This window comes from Homo sapiens, chromosome 10 (genome assembly GCF_000001405.40).
Source record: "Homo sapiens chromosome 10, GRCh38.p14 Primary Assembly".
NCBI lineage: Eukaryota > Metazoa > Chordata > Mammalia > Primates > Hominidae > Homo > Homo sapiens.
The window spans coordinates 5174287-5185465 of NC_000010.11; the positions used below are offsets into that span (position 1 = coordinate 5174287).

At 38.1% G+C, this 11179-nt stretch overlaps 1 protein-coding gene across 12 annotated transcripts in view; it reads right to left on the reverse strand.

The window, feature by feature from the left end:
* The window catches only part of AKR1C8 (aldo-keto reductase family 1 member C8), a 69338-nt gene extending 58474 nt beyond the window's left edge, over positions 1 to 10864 (reverse strand). For all 12 annotated transcript variants that reach the window (NR_027916.3, XM_047425162.1, XM_047425161.1 and 9 more), the window contains exon 1: positions 10726 to 10864. Coding sequence is in view for 11 of the 12 variants with exons in the window: in XM_047425162.1 (XP_047281118.1) it covers positions 10726 to 10818 (93 nt within the window). In the remaining variant the exon portion in view is untranslated. The remainder of the gene's footprint in view (positions 1 to 10725) is intronic.
* Between the last annotated feature and the right edge of the window lie 315 nt (positions 10865 to 11179).

The window sequence follows — 11179 nt, forward strand, 5'->3', positions numbered from 1 at the left end:
AAAAAACTCTAATTAATTAACCTAAAAAAAAAACCACCAAAGATTTTTGAAGGAAAATTAAAAATTATAATGCCTCTTAGTTCACGTGACTTTAATCTTTACAAAATAAAATGTCTTAAAAAGTATTGGTAAAATACAAATGTCTTCAAGATATAAATATGTGATATGTGTTATACAAGTCATATACTAAATTTACTAAATATTTTAAGATTGCAAACTACTTCTTTGACCTTTACAAACTGACTTTCATACTTCACAATTAATAAGACCTGAGGACATAGAGAAATAACCACACCTCTAACTATACTAGAAAAACTCAGACTTTATGCCTAACATATCAATAAAACAACTTACCAGGTTTTACACTAAACTTAAAAATTACTAAGAACTACCATTATGATATATAATTGAGACTACTATAAATAAATTTACATACAAACTATGTAAAAACAGGAAAAAGTGTTTTTAATAAAAAATTATGAAAAGACATAAAAATAAATATTTTGCCTAGGAATAAAAGACTGTCTTAAATAAAATAAAATAAAAATGAAAGATTAAACAGGTTGTGAAAAGTTATAAAAATTTTACAAAACCACGGTCTATATAAACATATTAACTAAATTAAAAAATATTACATGTTTTTTCATAAATCGAACATTGAAATAAAAAACAAGGTTTTCTTTATTTTGTTATTATTATATTTTAAGTTTTAGGGTACAAGTGCACAATGTGCAGGTTTGTTACATATGTATACATGTGCCATGCTGATGTGCTGCACCCATTAACTCGTCATTTAGCATTAGGTATATCTCCTAATGCTATCCCTCCCCCCTCCCCCCTCCCCCAACCCCGCAACAGTCCCCAGAGTGTGATGTTCCCCTTCCTGTGTCCATGTGTTCTCATTGTTCAATTCCCACCTATGACTGAGAATGTGCGATGTTTGGTTTTTTGTCCTTGCGATAGTTTACTGAGAATGATGATTTCCAATTTCATCCATGTACCTACAAAGGACATGAACTCATCATTTTTTATGGCTACATAGTATTCCATGGTGTATATGTGCCACATTTTCTTAGTCCAGCCTATCATTGTTGGACATTTGGGTTAGTTCCAAGTCTTTGCTGTTGTGAATAGTGCTGCAATAAACATATGTGTGCATGTGTCTTTATAGCAGCATGATTTATAGTCCTTTGGGTATATACCCAGTAATGGGATGGCTAGGTCAAATGGTATTTCTAGTTCTAGATCCCTGAGGAATCGCCACACTGACTTCCACAATGTTTGAACTAGTTGACAGTCCCACCAACAGTGTAAAAGTGTTACTATTTCTCCACATCCTCTCCAGCACCTGTTGTTTCCTGACTTTTTAATGATTGCCATTCTAACTGGTGTGAGATGGTATCTCATCATGGTTTTGATTTGCATTTCTCTGATGGCCAGTGATGGTGAGCATTTTTTCATGTGTTTTTTTGGCTGCATAAATGTCTTCTTTTGAGAAGTGTCTGTTCATGAACTTCGCCCACTTTTTGATGGGGTTGTTTGTTTTTTTCTTGTAAATTTGTTTGAGTTCATTGTAGATTCTGGATATTAGCCCTTTGTCAGATGAGTAGGTTGCGAAAATTTTCTCCCATTTCGTAGGTTGCCTGTTCACTCTAATGGTAGTTTCTTTTGCTGTGCAAAAGCTCTTTAGTTTAATTAGATCCCATTTGTCAATTTTGTCTTTTGTTGCCATTGCTTTTGGTGTTTTAGACATGAAGTCCTTGCCCATGCCTATGTCCTGAATGGTAATGCCTAGGTTTTCTTCTAGGGTTTTTATGGTTTTAAGTCTAACGTTTAAGTCTTTAATCCATCTTGAATTAATTTTTGTGTAAGGTGTAAGGAAAGGATCCAGTTTCAGCTTTCTACATATGGCTAGCCAGTTTTCCCAGCACCATTTATTAAATAGGGATTCCTTTCCCCATTGCTTGTTTTTCTCAGGTTTGTCAAAGATCCGATAGTTGTAGATATGCGGCATTATTTCTGAGGGCTCTGTTCTGTTCCACTGATCTATATCTCTGTTTTGGTACCAGTACCATGCTGTTTTGGTTACTGTAGCCTTGTAGTATAGTTTGAAGTCAGGTAGTGTGATGCCTCCAGCTTTCTTCTTTTGGCTTAGGATTGACTTGTTGATGCAGGCTCTTTTTTGGTTCCATACGAACTTTAAAGTAGTTTTTTCCAATTCTGTGAAGAAAGTCATTGGTAGCTTGATGGGGATGGCATTGAATCTATAAATTACCTTGGGCAGTATGGCCATTTTCACGATATTGATTCTTCCTACCCATGAGCATGGAATGTTCTTCCATTTGTTTGTATCCTCTTTTATTTCCTTAAGCAGTGGTTTGTAGTTCTCCTTGAAGAGGTCCTTCACATCCCTTGTAAGTTGGATTCCTAGGTATTTTATTATCTTTGAAGCAATCGTGAATGGGAGTTCACTCATGATTTGGCTCTCTGTTTGTCTGTTATTGGTGTATAAGAATGCTTGTGATTTTTGTACATTGAGTTTGTATCCTGAGACTTTGCTGAAGTTGCTTATCAGCTTAAGGAGATTTTGGGCTGAGACGATGGGGTTTTCTAGATATAGAATCATGTCGTCTGCAAACAGGGATAATTTGACTTCCTCTTTTCCAATTGAATACCCTTTATTTCCTTCTCCTGCCTAATTGCCCTGGCCAGAACTTCCAACACTATGTTGAATAGGAGTGGTAAGAGAGGGCATCCCTGTCTTGTGCCAGTTTTCAAAGGGAATGCTTCCAGTTTTTGCCCATTCAGTATGATATTAGCTGTGGGTTTGTCATAGATAGCTCTTATTATTTTGAGATGCATCCCATCAATACCTGATTTATTGAGAGTTTTTAGCATGAAGGGCTGTTGAATTTTGTCAAAGGCCTTTTCTGCATCTATTGAGATAATCATGTGGTTTTTGTCTTTGGTTCTGTTTATATGCTGGATTACATTTATTGATTTGCATATATTGAACCAGCCTTGCATCCCAGGGATGAAGCCCACTTGATCATGGTGGGATAAGCTTTTTGATGTGCTGCTGGATTCGGTTTGCCAGTATTTTATTGAGGATTTTTGCATCAATGTTCATCAAGGATATTGGTCTAAAATTCTCTTTTTTTGTTGTGTCTCTGCCCGGCTTTGGTATCAGGATGATGCTGGCCTCGTAAAATGAGTTAGGGAGGCTTCCTTCTTTTTCTATTGATTGGAATAGTTTCAGAAGGAATGGTACCAGTTCCTCCTTGTACCTGTGGTAGAATTCGGCTGTGAATCCATGTGGTCCTGGACTCTTTTTGGTTAGTAAGCTATTGATTATTGCCACAATTTCAGAACCTGTTATTGGTCTATTCAGAGATTCAACTTCTTCCTGGTTTAGTCTTGGGAGGGTGTATGTGTCGAGGAATTTATCCATTTCTTCTAGATTTTCCAGTTTATTTGCATAGAGGTGTTTGTAGTATTCTCTGATGGTAGTTTGTATTTCTGTGGGATCGGTGGTGATATCCCCTTTATCATTTTTTACTGCATCTATTTGATTCTTCTCTCTTTTCTTCTTTATTAGTCTGGCTAGTGGTCTATAAATTTTGTTGATCCTTTCAAAAAAACAGCTCCTGGATTCATTAATTTTTTGAAGGGTTTTTTGTGTCTCTATTTCCTTCAGTTCTGCTCTGATTTTAGTTACTTCTTGCCTTCTGCTAGCTTTTGAATGTGTTTGCTCTTGCTTTTCTAGTTCTTTTAATTGTGATGTTAGGGTGTCAATTTTAGATCTTTCCTTCTTTTTCTTGTGGGCATTTAGTGCTATAAATTTCCCTCTACACACTGCTTTGAATGTGTCCCAGAGATTCTGGTATGTTGTGTCTTTGTTCTCATTGGTTTCAAAGAACATCTTTATTTCTGCTTTCATTTCGTTATGTACCCAGTAGTCATTCAGGAGCAGGTTGTTCAGTTTCCATGTAGTTGAGCAGTTTTGAGTGAGTTTCTTAATCCTGAGTTCTAGTTTGATTGCACTGTGGTCTGAGAGACAGTTTGTTATAATTTCTGTTCTTTTACATTTGCTGAGGAGAGCTTTGCTTCCAACCATGTGGTCAATTTTGGAATAGGTGTGGTGTGGTGCTGAAAAAAATGTATATTCTGTTGATTTTGGGTGGAGAGTTCTGTAGATGTCTATTAGGTCCGCTTGGTGCAGAGCTGAGTTCAATTCCTGGGTATCCTTTTTAACTTTCTGTCTCATTGATCTGTCTAATGTTGACAGTGGGGTGTTAAAGTCTCCCGTTATTATTGTGTGGGAATCTAAGTCTCTTTGTAGGTCACTCAGGACTTGCTTTATGAATCTGGGTGCTCCTGTATTGGATGCATATATATTTAGGATAGTTAGGTCTTCTTGTTGAATTGATCCCTTTACCATTATGTAATGGCCTCATCTCTTTTGATCTTTGTTGGTTTGAAATCTGTTTTATCAGAGACTAGGATTGCAACCCCTGCCTTTTTTTTTGTTTTCCATTTGCTTGGTAGATCTTCCTCCATCCTTTTATTTTGAGCCTATGTGTGTCTCTGCACATGAGATGCGTTTCCTGAATACAGCACACTGATGGGTCTTGACTCTTTATCCAATTTGCCAGTCTGTGTCTTTTAATTGGAGCATTTAGTCCATTTACATTTAAAGTTAATATTATTATGTTTGAATTTGATCCTGTCATTATGATGTTAGCTGGTTATTTTGCTCGTTAGTTGATGCAGTTTCTTCCTAGCCTCGATGGTCTTTACAATTTGGCATGATTTTGCAGTGGCTGGTACTGGTTGTTCCTTTCCATGTTTAGTGCTTCCTTCAGGAGCTCTTTTAGGGCAGGCCTGGTGGTGACAAAAATCTCTCAGCATTTGCTTGTCTGTAAAGTATTTTATTTCTCCTTCACTTATGAAGCTTAGTTTGGCTGGATATGAAATTCTGGGTTGAAAATTCTTTTCTTTAAGGATGTTGAATATTGGCCCCCACTCTCTTCTGGCATGTAGAGTTTCTGCCGAGAGATCTGCGTTAGTCTGATGAGCTTCCCTTTGTGGGTAACCCGACCTTTCTCTCTGGCTGCCCTTAACATTTTTTCCTTCATTTCAACTTTGGTGAATCTGACAATTATGTATCTTGGAGTTGCTCTTCTCAAGGAGTACCTTTGTGGCATTCTCTGTATTTCCTGAATCTGAATGTTGGCCTGCCTTGCTAGATTGGAGAAGTTCTCCTGGATAATATCCTGCAGAGGGTTTTCCAACTTGGTTCCATTCTCCCCATCACTTTCAGGTACACCAATCAGACGTAGATTTGGTCTTTTCACATAGTCCCATATTTCTTGGAGGCTTTGTTCTTTTTATTCTTTTTTCTCTAAACTTCCCTTCTCCCTTCATTTCATTCGTTTCATCTTCCATCACTGATATCCTTTCTTCCAGTTGATTGCATCAGCTCCTGAGGCTTCTGCATTCTTCATGTAGTTCTCAAGCCTTGGCTTTCAGCTCCTTCAGCTCCTTTAAGCACTTCTCTGTATTTGTTATTCTAGTTATACATTCATCTAAATTTTTTTCAAAGTTTTTAACTTCTTTGCCTTTGTTTTGAATTTCCTCCTGTAGCTCAGAGTAGTTTGATCATCTGAAGCCTTCTTCTCTCAACTTGTCAAAGTCATTCTCCATCCAGCTTTGTTCCGTTGCTGGTGAGGAACTGCGTTCGTTTGGAGGAGGAGAGGCACTCTGCTTTTTAGAGTTTCCAGTTTTTCTACTCTGTTTTTTCCCCATCTTTGTGGTTTTATCTACTTTTGGTCTTTGATGATGGTGATGCACAGATGGGCTTTTAGTGTGGATGTCCTTTCTTTTTGTTAGTTTTCCTTCTAACAGACAGGACCCTCAGCTGCAGGTCTGTTGGAGTTTGCTAGAGGTCCACTCCAGACCCTGTTTGTCTGGGTATCCGCAGCAGAGATTGCAGAACAGCGGATTTTCATGAACTGCGAATGCTGCTGTCTGATCATTCCTCTGGAAGTTTTGTCTCAAATGAGTACCTGGCTGTGTGCGGTGTCAGTCTGCCCCTACTGGGGGCTGCCTCCCAGTTAGGCTGCTCGGGGGTTAGGGGTCAGGGACCCACTTGAGGAGACAGTCTGCCTGTTCTCAGAGCTCCAGCTGCATGCTGGGAGAACCACTGCTCTCTTCAAAGCTGTCAGACAGGGACATTTAAGTCTGCAGAGGTTACTGCTGTCTTTTTGTTTGTCTGTGCCCTGCCCCCAGAGGTGGAGCCTAGAGAGGCAGGCAGGCCTCCTTGAGCTGTGGTGGGCTCCACACCTCTGCTCCAGTTCGAGCTTCCAGGCTGCTTTGTTTACCTAAGCAAGCCTGGGCAATGGCGGGTGCCCCTCCCCCAGCCTGGCTGTCGCCTTGCAGTTTGATCTCAGACTGCTGTGCTAGCAATCAGCTAGACTCCGTGGACATAGGACCCTCCGAGCCATGTGTGGGATATAATCTCCTGGTGCGCTGTTTTTTAAGCCCGTCGGAAAAGCGCGGTATTAGGGTAGGAGTGACCCGATTTTCCAGGTGCCGTCTGTCACCCTTTTCTTTGACTAGGAAAGGGAACTCCCTGACCCCTTGCACTTCCCGAGTGAGGCAATGCCTCGCCCTGCTTTGGCTCATGCACAGTGCACTGCACCCACTGTCCTGTGCCCACTGTCTGGCACTCCCTTGTGAGATGAACCCGGTACCTCAGATGGAAATGCAGAAATCACCCGTCTTCTGCGTCACTCACGCTGGGAGGTGTAGACCAGAGCTGTTCCTATTCGGCCTTCTTGGCTGCCACCCCAAGGTTTTCTTAAGAAGCTAATCTACTTTAACAATATGTATAAAGAATTATTAAAGGTTTATAAAAATCTCATCTCATTGTCAAATTGGTTAAGATTAAATAGAATTATCTATAAAGTTTCATTAAAAATTGGGATTGACATTAATAAAAAACTAATAAAAGGGTGAAATTCGACTTTCTTTTGAACAAGATTTTCAAGTCATAATAAAGACTAATAAAAAGTTTTTACTTTTTCAAATGTTTAAATCATTTTAACAAAACAAATGACTTATGGTAATCTGAAATTCTGTTTCATAATATCAATTGGCTTTAAACTTCTAACATATTCGACAGGCTTCCCAAAATTAAACTTGAGTTTCAAGATTGTCTTCCCTGACCCCTAATGTTTAAATACTACAGAAGGCCCCTAAAACAACCCCAAAAAAGTGAACAGGATCACTTGACATATTTAAATATGTGAGACTGCCAAAATGATATTTAATCTTCCTCAAGTTATATTTCAGTAAATAATATTAATGTATGTTCCAAAACCATATAAGATGTCTAAGATTCTAATGTCTAAATATATACTGTCAATCATAATTAAGGTTATTGTGTTAAACTATTGTAAACCACAGAAATAACCAAATTACTTTGTCAATCATATTCTTAGCTACAACTACCCTGGACATTTTGTCATTCACAGGCAATTGTTACCTTGTTTTAATCCACTTCAAAAGATGATTTATAATCAACTATAAGACTTTAACAAACACTCTCAAATACAAGTTTCTAATAAAAAAACATGCAAGACTCACAAAAAACTAAAATGTTTATAAATATCAAACAGAACAAGAGTTAACAAAATAGACTAATAGAAAACTGAAGTAATCCTTTTTAACTTTTCACTAAAAAATTACTGATCATCATTTTGTTTTTTTCAGAGTCAAAAAACTTTTGAAAGAACTACAACTTTTAACGATTGAATAACATACACTTCTGTGAACAAAATTTAAAACATATTTATTTATCTCTACCTGGTTCCTCTGAAATTCAGAAACTAATTATAAATATTCAAGACTTATAACAATATAATTGCTTACATCAGTACAATAAAAATCCATTTTCTTTTACAAGACACAATTTTTAAAAATGATTATTTTACCAAGACTTTGACTGGAAGGATATATTTCCCTTTGAATAATCAAACTTAACTTCCGAAACCAATAAAAACCTCTTAGAAAAACTGGCCTCATACCTTGTCTATGCAGTTCCCAAACAGGGTTCCTAACCTATAATAAATAAAGAATGTCACTTTCTAACAGGCTCAAGAACCCTATATTCTTGGGACCTCAAAAAGAGAAAAATTGACCCAACTCATAAATATTTGAGAGTACAAACCCATGACTAGACTCAACTTTAAACTGAGGTATTATTATCTGAGGTTACTTATGGAATAGAATTCCATCAAAACCAATTTAAAAACCCTATATAAAATAATTATTGTAAGGCCAGGTGTGGTGGCTTATGCCTGTAATCCTAGCACTTTGGGAGGCCGAGGCAGGCAGATTGCCTGAGCTCAGGAGTTCGAGACCAGCCTGGGCAACATAGTGAAACCCTGTCTCTACGAAAATACAAAAAATAAGCTGGGTGTGGCAGCATGCACCTGTAGTCCCAGCTACTCAAGAGGCTGAGGTAGGAGAACTGCTTGAACCCAGGAGGCGGAGGTTGTAGTGAGCCGAGATCATGCCATTGCACTCCAGCCTGGGCAGGAGAGCAGACTCTGTCTCAAAAAAAAAAAAAATTATTCTTACTATTCTTTATACAGATAATCAGACCAAATATGAAACTAAAATTTATTTTACAAACAACTCAGTACTATCCTATCATGACTTGTTTTTGACAAAAATAAGAACTAGAGAGAAAAATAGTGTGTCAAACTTGCCATACATTTGTTATTAAATTCTAGTCTCACTAATTATTTTTAAATGTTTACCTACATTTTAGACTAACCCTACTTATTCTTATGAACTAACCAACAATCTCTGACTACAACAAAAAATAAAAACAGTAAAAGATAAATAATATAAAATTTAGAACAATATTCTAGTTCTGAACAATTATCCTACAAATCCTACCAGGTCATAGGAATATATAGAATACCCATAATCCAGAGGTTGCTTTATTTGAGAAAAGAAGACCAAAAAAACTAAGCAAAACCAAGCTCCATACACCGAAATCGTAACAGACATAACTATAACTACCAATTATCAGGACGTATCAACAACCTCAGAATTTTTAAACTATCCTTATCCCCCCTTATTTCATTTTAATACATGTACTCTAATAGCCCAAATTATTTCTTCTCACATAAAAACTATCAAACTCTAAATGGTAATACTAATAACACCACACATAAACATATCTTTCTTCCAAAGATCATTAAACCAACCCCAGGAAGAACTCTAACTACTGTTCCCCACATGACACCACCATCCGACAAAAAAATAGCCAGAAAAGTCAACACCCAATCTCCCTGACAATTAGGGACTCCACTCCTGAGGGTAAAAATGAGAGAAAAAACTTAAACAGTTAGAGTGAGTTCTTGGTAAAACTCCTTTAAACAGAGAAACAGCTTGAAAAAAATCAGACTACACACACAGATAAGGAAACTTACACAAACCTCCAGCTCACTCAGATAAAAAAACAAGGCCCAACATCAAAATGCCTTTGTCCTTTATGCCTAAGACATGGCAACAACTGCACTCATATGAGAACAAGAACCAACAGAGAAACACATTTGTCTTTTGTGTAACCAACAGACTTCTAGGAAAGTCTCTTTTTCTTTTGTGGGCATGTATATGGTGGGCTCCAGTGGGCTCTGGTGGGCACTTTCCTTTCCTTTTGTGGACATGTGGACCGTGAGATGAGCCTTTATGAATTATCATTCAGCATCTGACTGCTCCTGGGCCAAGGTCCCAGGCCAAGCTATCACTTCAACTCCTGATTGGTCCCAGACCAAGGTCCCAGGACAAGCTGAGTTACACTTTCTCCAAGACCAGTCAACAAATTCTTTTCTTTCCCAGTCCATCAAAACCCTAGACCTGACCTCATAGTTAACAATCCATCCAGGCCCCCTCTCTACTCGAGAAAATCTTCCTTCTTTCACTTATTAAACTTTCACTCCAACCTTACCCTTTGTGTCCACAGTCCTTAATTTTCTCAGTCATAAGACAAAAAACTTCAGATAATCCCTCAAAATGAAAGACTACTATATTTTTAATACATTGATGAGACTGTAACAGAATCGCAGTGGCTTCTTATATAGCAAAAAGTTTGGATGGTTGAAACTCTCTGGCAAATACTTCCAGCCCCAATAACCTCACAGCAAAGCTGCCACTAAGTATTCATTTTGGCTTTTGATTCCTCCTGGGTCCTTGGCCCTTCACATTTCTAACCAAGAGTAGAGTGGCTCTGACCAGAGCAAAAGATGAGAACAGTCTGAGCTTGCATTTTTAAAACGTAACAAATTTTAATGAGTACTTACCTAGGCCAGTTGTTAAGGAATTAAATAAGATAATGCATGTAAAACACCTAAAATACATGGAAAGCATTTGATATATTAGGTAACATTGATACTTTTAATAGAAATAAAGATAATATACCCACAAAATTATCAATCTCAGAATCCCCACAATCAATAACTTGCCATGCCACTTAAAGCAAAAAAGATCTCTGTGACCTTGAGAGGAGCAAGTTAGAGACAGTTAAATGAAATCCCAGATGAGCCCTTCCAAGCATCCACTGTCTACCCAAGTGCAGGGCTCTTGCCTGATGACTGCCCTGCAAGTACAGCTGACCTAAGAAACTTCAGCCTCCTGGGGTCCACTTACATGATCAGGAGCATAAGTGCCAAATCCCAGCACTGGCATGAAGGGTCCATCATTCAGCCTCACTGAATGGCTTTGCTTCAGATCCGTCATCATCCCCAGCTAACCTGTCTTTCCTCCTTTTCCTCACTGACAGCCCAGTAGGAGACAAGGCTCCTGCGTTCTTTATTTGCACCAAATGCAGGATGGGCGGGATGGAGATGACAGCTGCCAATGATTTCAAAATGAAACTGGAATCAGTCCAGTGCCTTTTCTCTGATTCTTATGTCTCTGTGGGAGTATTTTACAGAAAACTCACTCAGAAATGCTGTGAATGCCAGAGGACTTTGATTTTCTCCTCCGTGTTGTTCACACTTGATTCCTTAGTTGAAAAATGAACCACACCAATTTGTCCTTGATAAGTACACTAGACTTCCTTTACAAGAGGCAAAGTTATTATTAGGGTGGTCATTTCAAA